Genomic DNA, 13767 nt, shown 5'->3' with positions numbered 1-13767 from the left:
CATTCTTCCCACCCCATCCATCTAGCTAATCTTCCCTAATCTAGCTAATCTAGCAAGTCTTCCCTATCCCTCCCCAAATTTTCTGGGTGCTTCTCTGAATCTTTGTACTTATCCTAACTTAGCACAAACCACTATACTGAAATAAACTCTAATCTCTGCCTGTCTGGCTCACCATTGTTTATCTAACACTTGGCACAGTGCCAACCCATACTCAGTGAATACTTATGCTTTTCTTGCTGAAAAACTGGATTGAATGGTGAGCCTCGAAAGAGCAGTAGGAATTTCATAAGTTAGAAAGCCAACAAGGACCTTCTGGAAAAAAGGAAGAAAACATGTAGTCACAGAGGTATGAAGAAAACATGGCTTGTCCTATAACCTGCAAGTGGAACTGGTTGGAGCAAGGGCATGGCTGGATTCTGAAGGCTGAGGTGGAAAAGGCAGTGAGGGGTCAAATAATGGAGGGATGTAGATGTCTTGCTAAGAACTGTGGGTCTTATAAGGAAGGCAGTAAGGAACCCTTCAGTGATTTTGTTTTAAGGCTGGGGACACAATAAATTAGATTTGCATTAGAAAAAACACTGTAAGCTTTTATGTAAAGCGGGGAGAAAAGAGATAAGGCAGAAGCCAGTTAAGAGGATTCATAGACCTAGGCAAAAAATCTCAAAATTCTAAACCATAGGACAGATAGAGAGATTTGAAAGAGATTTAGGAGATGGACTCGACCTAACTTGATGAATTGCACATTGTTGGTAAGACAGAGGTGATTCCTAAGTTTTCTGACTAGAGAGAATAGTTGACCTGTGTATCCTTTAGGAAGCCCAGGACTGCAGGAGGAGAAGGGGAAGGATAATACAAGACATGAATAGGTTCAGTTTGGACAGCCTCAGTGTGATATTCTTGGGAATACCCAGTCAGATATTGCAATAAACAATTGGAGATTTGGATCTAGAGCTCAAAAGAGAAGTCAGTATTGGAATAAACTTGCGGGTGTCATTAACATATGGGGATAATTGGAGCCTTAATTATAGATGTATAGCAAGAATGAGTAAAGAGAAGAGCATCTACGTCTGGAACTTTTGGTACGTTAAAGAAAGGAAGGTTGTGTGTTTATCGCTATGCTCTGTGCATAGTAGGTGCTCAATAAATACTTGTTGAATGAGTAATGAGAATGCAGTGCCATTAAGAGCAATGAAGGTCTCCAGCCCTCACTAACAGTGGACTAGAATGCCATTATCAGATCCAGAGAAAATTCCATTCAGTTGCCCTTTGAAAGAGAATTTGGAGGATGCTATGACCCTGATTTCCTAGTTTTGACCTGCTGGAATGAGGTAATGAAAGATGCGTTCCTTGGTTCTGTTTATATGCTGGATTACATTTATTGATTTGCATATGTTGAACCAGGCTTGCATCCCAGGGATGAAGCCCACTTGATCATGGTGGATAAGCTTTTTGATGTGCTGCTGGATTCGGTTTGCCAGTATTTTATTGAGGATTTTTTGCATCGATGTTCATCAGGGATGTTGGTCTAAAATTCTCTTTTTTTGTTGTGTCTCTGCCAGGCTTTGGTGTCAGGATAATGCTGGCCTCATAAAATGAGTTAGGGAGGATTCCTTCTTTTTCTATTGATTCGAGTAGTTTTGGAAGGAATGGTACCAGCTCCTCTTTGTACCTCTGGTAGAATTCGGCTGTGAATCCATCTGGTCCTGGACGTTTTTTGGTTGGTAAGCCATTAATTATTGCCTCAATTTCAGAGCCTGTTATTGGTCTATTCAGAGATTCAACTTCTTCCTGGTTTAGTCTTGGGAGGGTGTATGTGTCGAGGAATTTATCCATTTCTTCTAGACTTTCTAGTTTATTTGCGTAGAGGTGTTTATAGTATTCTCTGATGGTAGTTTGTATTTCTGTGGGATCGGTGGTGATATCCCCTTTATCATTTTTTATTGCGTCTATTTGATTCTTCTCTCTTTCCTTCTTTATTAGTCTTGCTAGCGGTCTATCAATTTTGTTGATCTTTTCAAAAAACCAGCTCCTGGATTCACTGATTTTTTGAAGGGTTTTTTGTGTCTATTTCCTTCAGTTCTGCTCTGATCTTAGTTATTTCTTGCCTTCTGCTAGCTTTTGAATGTGTTTGCTCTTGCTTCTCTAGTTCTTTTAATCGTGATGTTAGGATGTCAATTTTAGATCTTTCCTGCTTTCTCTTGTGGGCATTTAGTGCTATAAATTTCCCTCTACACACTGCTTTGAATGTGTCCCAGAGATTCTGGTATGTTGTGTCTTTGTTCTCATTGGTTTCAAAGAACATCTTTATTTCTGCCTTCATTTCGTTATGTACCCAGTAGTCATTCAGGAGCAGGTTGTTCAGTTTCCATGTAGTTGAGTGGTTTTGAGTGAGTTTCTTAATCCTGAGTTCTAGTTTGATTGCACTGTGGTCTGAGAGACAGTTTGTTATAATTTGTTTTTTTTTTACATTTGCTGAGGAGTGCTTTACTTCCAACTATGTGATCAGTTTTGGAATAGGTGTGGTGTGGTGCTGAAAATAATGTATATTCTGTTGATTTGGGGTGGAGAGTTCTGTAGTATCTATTAGGTCCGCTTGGTGCAGAGTTGAGTTCAGTTCCTGGATAGCGTTGTTACCTTTCTGTCTCGTTGATGTGTCTAATGTTGACAGTGGAATGTCCCATTATTATTGTGTGGCAGTCTAAGTCTCTTTGTAGGTCTCTAAGGACTGGGTGCTCCTGTATTGGGTGCATATATATTTAGGATAGTTAGCTCTTCTTGTTGAATTGATCCCTTTACCATTATGTAATGGCCTTCTTTGTCTCTTTTGATCTTTGTTGGCTTAAAGTCTGTTTTATCAGAGACTAGGATTGCAACCCCTGCCTTTTTTTGTCAGAACCAATGACAAAAACCGCATGATTATCTCAATAGATGCAGAAAAGGCCTTTGACAAAATTCGACAACACTTCATGCTAAAAACTCTCAATAAATTAGGTATTGATGGGACGTATCTCAAAATAATAAGAGCTATCTATGACAAACCCACAGCCAATATCATACTGAATGGGCAAAAACTAGAAGCATCCCCTTTGAAAACTGGCACAAGACAGGGATGCTTTCTCTCACCACTCCTATTCAACATAGTGTTGGAAGTTCTGGCCAGGGCAATCAGGCAGGAGAAGGAAACAAAGGGTATTCAATTAGGAAAAGAGGAAGTCAAATTGTCCCTGTTTGCAGATGACATGATTGTATATCTAGAAAACCCTATCATCTCAGCCCAAAATCTCCTTAAGCTGATAAGCAACTTCAGCAAAGTCTCAGGATACAAAATGAATGTGCAGAAATCACAAGCATTCTTATACACCAATAACAAACAGAGAGCCAAATCATGAGTGAACTCCCATTCACAATTGCTTCAAAGAGAATAAAATACCTAGGAATCCAACTTACAAGGGACCTGAAGGACCTCTTCAAACCACTGCTCAATGAAATAGAAGAGGATACAAACAAATGGAAGAACATTCCATGCTCATGGGTAGGAAGAATCAGTATCGTGAAAATGGCCATACTGCCCAAGGTAATTTATAGATTCAATGCTATCCCCATCAAGCTACCAATGACTTTCTTCACAGCATTGGAACAAACTACTTTAAAGTTCATATGGAACCAAAAAAGAGCTCGCATTTCCAAGTCAATACTAAGCTAAAAGAACAAAGCTGGAGGCATCAGGCTACCTGACTTCAAACTATACTACAAGGCTACAGTAACCAAAACAGCATGGTACTGGTACCAAAACAGAGATATAGACCAATGGAACAGAACAGAGCCCTCAGAAATAATGCCACATATGTACAACTATCTGATCTTTGACAAACCTGACAAAAACAAGCAATGGGGAAAGGATTCCCTATTTAATAAATGGTGCTGGGAAAACTGGCTAGCCATATGTAGAAAGCTGAAACTGGATCCCTTCCTTGCACCTTATACAAAAATTAATTCAAGATGGATTAAAGAGTTAAATGTTAGACCTAAAACCATAAAAACCCTAGAAGAAAACCTAGGCAACACCATTCAGGACATAGGCATGGGCGAGGACTTCATGTGTAAAACACCAAAAGCAATGGCAACAAAAGCCAAAATTGACAAATGGGATCTAATTAAACTAAAGAGTTTCTGCACAGCAAAAGAAACTACCATCAGAGTGAACAGGCAACCTACAGAATGGGAGAAAATTTTTACAATCTACCCATCTGACAAAGGGCTAATATCCAGAATCTACAAAGAACCCAAACAAATTTACAAGAAAAAATCAAACAACCCCATCAAAAAGTGGGTAAAGGATATGAACAGACACTTCTCAAAAGAAGACATTTATGCAGCCAACAGACACATGAAAAAATGCTCATCATCACTGGCCATCAGAGAAATGCAAATCAAAGCCACAATGAGATACCATCTCACACCAGTTAGAATGGCAATCATTAAAAAGTCAGGAAACAACAGGTGCTGGAGAGGATGTGGAGAAATAAGAACACTTTTACACTGTTGGTGGGACCGTAAACTAGTTCAGCCATTGTGGAAGACAGTGTGGTGATTCCTCAAGGATCTAGAATTAGAAATACCATTTGACCCAGCCATCCCATTACTGTGTATATACCCAAAGGATTATAAATCATGCTGCTATAAAGACACATGCACATGTATGTTTATTGTGGCACTATTCACAATAGCAAAGACTTGGAACCAACCCAAATGCCCATCAATGATAGACTGGATTAAGAAAATGCGGCACATATACACCATGGAATACTATGCAGCCATAAAAAAGGATGAGTTCATGTCCTTTGTAGGGATATGGATGAAGCTGGACACCATCATTCTGATCAAACTGTCACAAGGACAGAAAACCAAACACTGCATGTTCTCATAGGTGAGAATTGAACAATGAGAACACTTGGACACAGGGTGGGGAACATCACACACTGGGGCCTGTTGTGGGGTGGGGGGCAGGGGAAGGGATAGCATTAGGAGATATACCTAATGTTAAATGAAGAGTTAATGGGTGCAGCACACCAACATGGCACATGCATACATATGTAACAAACCTGCACGTTGTGCACGTGTACCCTAAAACTTAAAGTGTAATAAAAAAATAAAGTAAAATAAAAGAAAGATGCATTCCTCACCAGCACCTGGGCTGTGATTCACTGTTACCCATAATGTAAGCTTTTGTCACGGTGATAAAGTAATTAACATTTATCTCTTAGACAAAGTACTTTCAGTATTCTGGATAGTTGAACAATTTATTGTGACTTTTAGGTTTTAGTCTCCATTTTTGTCAATTTTTTGTTTGCACCTTATATCACTAAATGGAAAGTTTCCTAAATATTTCAAAAGTAAGTTTCCTTTTTTAAATTATAGATACTTGGTTTTCTAATATATCTAATTAAGATTTGATAAATGTGTTAATAAGGTTTTTTTAAAAGCAATGTCAATTTGCCATAGATTTACTCTCCCTGATTACTGAAGCCTTAAATTTTTGATACCACAGTTATCTTCTCTCTAAATCATTTCCATGCCTGTTCTTAATAACTTAATCCAGATGCTCTTTTTTTCTTATTTGTTCTTTTATAAATTGACAGTTGTTCAGAATGCAAGAAAAAGCAAATCATATGAATAGTGCTCCAGATACATTTTCTGCAAAGAAAGTGTTCATTTTAAAAAAATTTAATTGTCATTTTGGAATGAAGCAAGCTAATGAGTATACAAACATTCCTAAATTATCCATTTATTTTTTTCCTCTTGAAACACACATTTCTGCCAAAAAACTTTTTTGGAACATAAAATGTACAAGCAAAAGGAAAGTTTACTGAAATATTTTGTCTTACATTTCAACCCTCTTTTCCAGTAATGTCAACCAGGTTATCTGTGAATTCTTCAGACAAACCAATAATGCAGTTATCACTGGTCCCAGCGATGTGTGTTTCTGGGGAAAAATATTAATCAGCTGGAGTCAATAATCATTCCAGGGCTTTGATCTGGCATCACATATAAGTGAGATGTTAAGCTACTAAGGAGTGAAAAGTGAAAAAACTGCTTGTATGCTGCCCCCACTGTCTCAGGGATGGTGCTCAGAGTATGTTTTCTTATATTTGTCCTGTATCACAATCTTGGGAAGTACATTTTTATTATATATGTCTACAGATGCAAAGACAGGTTCACTAAAGGTTGCATAACAGTTGTGCAGCAGAGTGGAATTCTCACTGAGCTCAAAGGCCAGGGTTCTTTTCTCTACGTGTTGCTGTGTCTTGATATTACCCTCCTAGTTAGGAGTGTATTCAAAAATGACAATTCAAGGTTTGACTTCCAAGCCAATTGAAAAATTGGTTAAGCGGTGGCTCACTCCTGTAATCCTTGCATCCCAAAGGAGGCCGAGGCAGGCAGGTGGATCACCTGAGGTCAGGAATTTGAGACCAGCCTGACCAACATGGTAAAACCTCATCTCTACTAAAAATACAAAAAATTAGCTGGATGTGGTGGGGCATGCCTGTAATCCCAGCTACTCAGGAGGCTGAGGCAAGAGAATCACTTGAACCCTGGAGGCAGAGGTTGCAGTGAGCAGAGATCGGGCCATTGCACTCCAGCCTGGGTGACAGAGTGAGACTCTGTCTCAAAAAAAAAAAAAAAAGATTCTAGGCCTGCAAATAATAGTTGAATTTAGGTTAACTGTAGAGGAGAGGAAAGCTCTGGGATGCATAACATTTTAGTCTGAGAAAGAGGAAACTAACCATGAGAACTGAAAGAGGGTACAGTGCTTAATATGCTGGAGGGTAACTATAGCATGGAGCTAAAGCCATAGGAGAAGCAGTTTTAGCTCTTAAGGTTTGAGCTTCCCTTCAGTAAACAATCTGCCTTGAAATAAGTGAGCCTCCTGCCACTGCAAGTATCTAAGCAGAACCTCATTGACTATCTGAGAAGAATGTTTTGAAGAATTCTTGGGTGGAAGGTTATATTAAGTGACCTCGTAGGTCACTTCCACTTGAGTTATATTTCTAAGTGTGAAAGCATGTGTTCTAAATCAGATACAACAGGTGGGGTCTATCTGCTGAGGTCAAGCCATACCAATTGGCACTACCAACACCTGATGTTACAGACCAGAATGATGGAATGTTTCAGGTAAGATTGGCTTTCTGGTGCTTGCCCTAAATATAAGCATCTTCATTTGATTTGCATAGCAAAGGGAGATTCCCATGCTCTCTTTTTGAGACTATATGTTTTACAGGACTTAAGGAGAATATTTTAAACAGTTACTTGCATGTCTTTCAGGACCAGGGTAGCTATCCTCTTATAATTACTCCTAGACACTTCAGAGCACCTTCTTCTGTTTCCTGTAATTCTTTACCCAATATCATTTATAAACTTTTTTCCTGTCATTCATGTGCTTTCACCTTCCAAATATTCCCTTTCTCTCTCCCTCTTTCTTCATTCCTTTCTTTGTTCAAATCATTATTAATCACTAATTGACCTTTGACCAAAAGTGTTAGACTTAACAAAAGGGAGGTAGTTTTTAAAAAACTGGTTGCAGTAGTAACAAATGCCATCCATGGTCAATGCTCATTTATTTTCTGGCATCAACACTGTTCCACAACTAATTGCTGATTAGGGAGTTGGCATTTATCCTCACCAAAATATCATAGTTACAGTTGACATTTTTTCACTGCTGATTTTTCTTTTGTCCTGGGTCTTGTGTTTCCTTTTTTTTTTTTTTTTGAGACAGAGTCTGGCTCTGTCGTCCAGGCTGGAGTGCAGTGGCGTGATCTCGGCTCACTGCAAGCTCCGCCTCTCGGGTTCACGCCATTCTCCTGCCTCAGCCTCCCAAGTAGCTGGGACTACAGGTGCCTGCCACCATGCCCAGCTAATTTTTTTTTTTTGTATTTTTAGTAGAGACGGGGTTTCACCGTGTTAGCCAGGATGGTCTCGATCTCCTGACCTTGTGATCCACCCACCTAAGCCTACCAAAATGCTGGGATTATAGGCCTGAGCCACCACACCCGACCTCGTCGAACTTGCGAGGTTATTTCTGTTTTGTGCCATATAATAATTATTTTGATGGAAATTGTCATTGTCCTTTTTCTTCCCACTCTGACAGGCTGTGTTTGATGTGGACAAGAAGAAAGGGTTGACTCTGATTGAGCTCTGGGAAGGCCTGACAGTGGATGACGTACAGAAGAGTACTGGGTGTGATTTTGCAGTAAGTATTTCTGTGAACAAATCCAGACACTTGTCTTATATTATAGGCTTGATTAATGGGTGTTTGCAGGACATGAACCATTAATTTGTGATCATTTTTGGAGTTGACCTTTACAGTGAACAGGAGTAGAAGGAAGGGTGCCTCTAGATGAGAGCAGGTGGGAACAGAGCTGTGCTCTGACTCACTGGCCAAGGTTTGGCTTAGGACTCAGAAGCAGGAAGGGGACACACCACCAGGAGCTGCTAGAAACAAGGTTGAGCTTGAGCTCTAAGCTACTTTATGTTTTGAAGGCCCTTGTAATCCCCTGTTCTTTGGTTATATGGCAGCTGTGCTTGAACTTGATTAACTGAAAAATGTTAGCCACATATGGAGAAATGATACTTCCTTATTTTTAAACCCATCTATGACTTATGACTTTCTCTAAATTCTATGCCATATTTCATCCGTTGAAAATATTAAAATGTTGGGCCTCTGACATCACCAGGTTAGTCATCACAAAACAGACATGCCCTGTATTTGAAGATAAGTACATAAAACAGACTTACAAAGCAGATAAATACGTCAGGGGAGTATCCGTTTAAGAAACCTCCAAATCCCTTTTTAAAACAGAATATTACTGAGAATATAAATAATTGCTCTTTAATATAAGTGCTTATTCATAAATCAATCACCTAGCTAATGGCATTGAAAGCATGGCTCAGTCTATTTGAAGTTAACCAAAAGTAAAACTAAAATGTCTCTGAAGAAATGAAGGAAAGTGTATTAGTCCATTCTCACAGAGCTAACAAAGACAGCATAAGATTGGGTAGTTTATAGAGAAAAAGAGGTTTGATGGACTCAGGTCCACATGGCTGGGGAGGCCTCACAATCATGGCAGAAGGTGAAGGAGAAGCAAAGGCACGTCTTATGTGGCAGCAAGCAAGAGAGTGTGTGCAGGGAAACTGCCCTTTATAAAACCATCAGATCAAAGACTTACTCACTATCACAAGAACAGCATGTGAAAAACCCACCCCCATGATTCAGTTACCTCCCACCAGGTCCCTCCCGTGACACAAGGGGATTATGGGAGCTCCAAATCAAGATGAGATTTGGGTGGGGACACAGCCAAACCATATCAGAAAGGGATATTATTCTCATACCTATTTAAGAACCAATCTAATTAAAATGAAATATATTTATAATGAGAAGAAAATATGTTAATGTTACAGCTACACATCTTGGAGAAACTAATTTAACAAAAGTTATTTGATAAGTCATACATATATTGTATGTATGTCTTTCTTGTGTACTACATGCTTTGCTTGTACCTATCAGTGCATAACACATTTTTTTTTTAAGACGGAGTCTTGTTCTGTTGCCCAGGCTGGAGTGCAGTGGCGCGATCTTGGCTCATTGCAAGCTCCGCCTCCCAGGTTCACACCATTCTCCTGCCTCAGCCTCCCCAGCAGCTGGGACTACAGGCACATGCCGCCACGCCCGGCTAATTTTTTGTATTTTTAGTAGAGATGGGGTTTCACCGTGCTAGCCAGGATGGTCTCGATCTCCTGACCTTGTGATCTGCCCGCCTCGGCCTCCCAAAGTGCTGGGATTACAGGCGTGAGCCACCGTGCCCGGCCTACACATTTCTCTAAAAACGATTTTTGTTTCATAGTTCATTATCCATATAATAACTGTTCCTGGTACTCTACCAAGGTCTTTGTCTATTAACTTTTTTTGAATGTCCCTTTGGAAAAAGAAGTCTCCCAGTAATACCTTTCATGAAAAGCACATCTTTAATTAGCCTTTCAATAACCTCAAGGGGAAGGATATGCTTATACTTTAACTATTTAGGATTTCTCACTCCAGTGAGAAAAGCAAACAATCTGTATTATTTTTTTCTATGTGGAAGAATTAACCTCTTCATCAGATAACATTTTCAAGATCCACAGAATGTTCAGTTTTTTTTTGCAGCAAAAGAGAATGTACAAAGGAAGACCTGGTTATCTAGTTCTTTTTTTATTCATGTGGGTAAATAAGGAATGAAAATATGAGTTTTTACTGTTCTTGCTTTGTTTTCCAATAAAAGGTGCTGTTCCAATGGAAAATATCTCTGTAGACCCTCTCAATTTCAGTACCATCTCTTCTTTTCACAGGGATATGTAATCTTGTTTTCTCCAAATTAGGATGTTGAGATGAAATGTTAATTTGTATGTCAATGTTGTCCTGAGAATGAAAAGGTATGGTATCAATGGAACCATCCAGAGGACTAGCTTTTGAGCATCTGACGATCAATGGCATCTCTTTACACTCTGACAGATGAAATCACATATAACAGGTTGTTTTCTGTAAGGCTAGAGCTGGAGTGCCCTAATTAATAAAATGTTCTACTTAATACCTGGATTATCAATAAGGATACATTTAATTACAAAAGTACATTGAAGATAGCATTTCTTTCTTGACAATTCAGAAGACATTCCATGTCCTAATTTAGAAAATATTCCCTGTGGTTATCACTGCATAGCTAGCATTGTACTCCATATGTGACTATACACTAGTTGCTCAAGTTCTGTTTGAGAAAAGTCCCTAGAACTCAGCCTTCAACTGGCAGTCAACATTCTAGAAGGGAATGATTGGCCAGTGTTGCCTCATAAAGAAAAAAAGGTAAAATCCTAGTGCAAAACAATTTAAAATGTGTTGGTAAAAGTCCTGTATCCCTAAGGATATGGGCAAGTGAATGGGCAAAAGCTACATTATGTGGATATTAGCTGGTTGGGAAAATACTGGGAATTCCAAAGTAAAAGACTAAATATGACAGCATCAGATAACAGGACGTGACAAAATTTTGGTTTTAGGATATCAAAAAAGAATGATAGTGAAATATTTGGGCACTGTTAAAAAAAAGAATTACTAAGACTTTTTCATATATATCATAGTGTTATTAGCCATAATAAAAAAGTGGAAAAAATATGATTTTTAATCACATGAAACATAACTTTAAAAAACCTGTAATGACTGTCACAGTTTTGTTCATGATTTTGTATCAACTGAAAGTTGGAGTTTTCCATCGGAGGGCAGTATCTTGAAGGTCATATATGTCTGGAACTTGGTAGAGGCTGTGGAAATTTTGTTGTAGAAATGCAAATATTGATTATATTTCTGGAACCTGAAGGTTCACACACCCAAAATAAGATTCTGGTCAGGAGCTGTTTACAGCTAGAGAAGCCAACCATATGATTACTCTCCCTTAAAATGTAGATGCTATGACGATAGGGACTTTGCTGTTTCTTGGGGATTGAGTGCTGAATCCCTTGAGAGAAAGGAGCTGAACAGGTAGAGGTAAAAGTATTACTATTATACAGGCTAGAGTGAGGGATGTGGCCTAGGTGTACAGCCACAGCAGGCTTTTCAGTTGTGAACCCCACAGATACAGAGGCTTTGGCTCCCCAGTGTAGGCAGCACCAGAGAAACCCAGGCCTCCCACAAGGGTAGCCTTCATTGCTGAGCTTCCATCCACATGGCTGAGAGCAAAACAGAGCATTGCTTTCTAGGTGAAGACCTCAATGAAGAGGAAGAGTCATGCTGAGTTTCACATGTTAAGGTTCCTCTGCCCAAATAATCATTTAATTACATCAATAAGGGACACACCGGAGGTCAGGGTAGTTACATGAATAGATAGGTGTCCTTCCACATGGAATGGAATATGAGAAGTGGGGAATAAAGGCTCCCCTGTCCCCAGCGCTATTGGTAGAGCCTTGTATGTATGTTCATGCTCTACAAATGCTTGTGATGCTGTTCAGTAATGCTTTCCTATTTTTAAATAACTGGTAAAAACTTTAAAAAAATTTACCATCTTAACCATGTTTAAGTGTACAATGCAGTAATATTAAGTGTATTCACATTGTTATACAACAGATCTCTAGAACTTTTATAACTTGCAGCTCTGAAACTACTCATTAAACACTAATTCCACAGCCTTTGGCAACCACTGTTTTTGCTTTCTGTTTCTATCATTTTGACTATTCTAGATACCTCATATGAGTGGAGTTATACAGTATTTGCCCTTTTGTGACTGGCTTATTTTGCTTAGCATAATGTATTCAGGGTTCATCTGTGTTGTAGCATGTATGACAGGATTATCTTCTTTTTAAGGCTGTATAATATTTCATTGTGCATATATACCACACTTTCATGACCCACTCATCTGTTGGTAGACATTTGGGTTGCTTCCACCACTTGGCTACTGTGAATAGTGCTGCAAAGAACATGGATGTGCAAATATCTCTTTGACATTCTGCTTTGAAATTTTTTAGATATATAATTCAGAATTTGGATTGCTGGATCATATGATAATTCTATTTTTAATTTTTTGTGGAACTGCCATACTGTTTCACAATGTTTGCCCCGTTTTACATTCCCACTGTTGGTGCACAGGGGTTCTAATTTCTCCATATCTTTGCCAACAGTTATCTTCTGTTTAATAGTGGCCATTCTAATGGCTGTGAGGTGATATCTCATTGTGGTTTTGATTTGCATTTATCTGGTGATGTTCTCAAAGTTTCTCATATATTCTGGATGCTAATCTCTTATCAGATGATTTTTGAATGTTCTTTTCCATTTCATAGGTTGCTTTTTCACTGTTTTCTTTGACACATGGAAGTTTTTAAGTTCGATATAGTCTTCTGTCTGTCTTTTATGCTACTAGGGCCCAACATTTTCACAACTAAGGAATCCTTTGGCTTATTTTTCTCCCATTGTCCTCAGATTTTGAAAGAAGTCTGTCTCTCAAATATTTAAAGAATCAAAATGATGTCGTATTAAAGCTTGACAAGCTAATGAGTATGTCAAATTTCTTTATTTTTTGGCTATACTTAACAGCATGCAGTATGCCAGTTACTTGATGGGCGAAAGTATTAGGTTGATGCAAAAGTAATTGTGGTTTAATAAATGGTTTTGCCATTGAAAATAACGGCTTTCAATTGGTTATTTGGGTTGTTTCTTTTCTGATGAATGCTTAAGCTATGTAAAATAGGTGTTTTTATAAACCATATGTCTGTGGACCTCTTTTGAAACAATATTTCTTTGATTTTATCTTCTTAACTTAAAAAATTAAAAATGTATTCCATATTTAAACATTATGTGTTAGAATAAACTTCCAGATGTCACTAGTCATACACCCAATGTATGTTCCATATTGAGCTGTAAAATATGAATAAAATAGAACCAATTTATGGTTCTTGCTCCCAAGAGCCTTGGCTTTATTCTCCAGGCAGGAATATACCTAAACCACCAGTGGCAAAACAAACAAACAAATAAAAAACTAGTAAAAGCAATGTTTGTTGATATGTTTGCAGTGGAATCTGAAAGAAGCTGCAGACATTCCTTGCCTAATTGAATAAATTTATACTCTCAGTATCTACTATGAACTGGCATTCTACCAGAGTCAAGCAATATACTTTTGGGATATTAATGCACTGGGAAGACAAATCATTGGCTTGTCTTCTATAGCTAAATCATGTCACCTTGTGCTTAGCCTGCAGATC

At 38.5% G+C, this 13767-nt stretch overlaps 1 protein-coding gene across 7 annotated transcripts in view, besides 1 other annotated feature; it reads left to right on the top strand.

The window, feature by feature from the left end:
- Window positions 1-13767, top strand: part of OXCT1 (3-oxoacid CoA-transferase 1) — a 140361-nt gene that overhangs the window by 122788 nt on the left and 3806 nt on the right. For all 7 annotated transcript variants that reach the window (NR_157114.2, NM_001364301.2, NM_001364302.2 and 4 more), the window contains one exon: window positions 8147-8248. Coding sequence is in view for 6 of the 7 variants with exons in the window: in NM_001364301.2 (NP_001351230.1) it covers window positions 8147-8248 (102 nt within the window). In the remaining variant the exon portion in view is untranslated. The remainder of the gene's footprint in view (window positions 1-8146; window positions 8249-13767) is intronic.
- Window positions 6959-7018: an enhancer, noted in NCBI's record as "active region_22505". NCBI's record gives its function as "activates an Ori minimal core promoter by ATAC-STARR-seq in GM12878 lymphoblastoid cells {active_cell/tissue: GM12878}" and the evidence as "EXISTENCE:reporter gene assay evidence [ECO:0000049][PMID:35858748]".

The sequence above is a fragment of the Homo sapiens genome, chromosome 5 (genome assembly GCF_000001405.40).
Source record: "Homo sapiens chromosome 5, GRCh38.p14 Primary Assembly".
NCBI classification, from domain to species: domain Eukaryota; kingdom Metazoa; phylum Chordata; class Mammalia; order Primates; family Hominidae; genus Homo; species Homo sapiens.
Note: the sequence above shows the minus strand (reverse complement) of the source record. Positions and strands in the feature narration are given on the sequence as shown.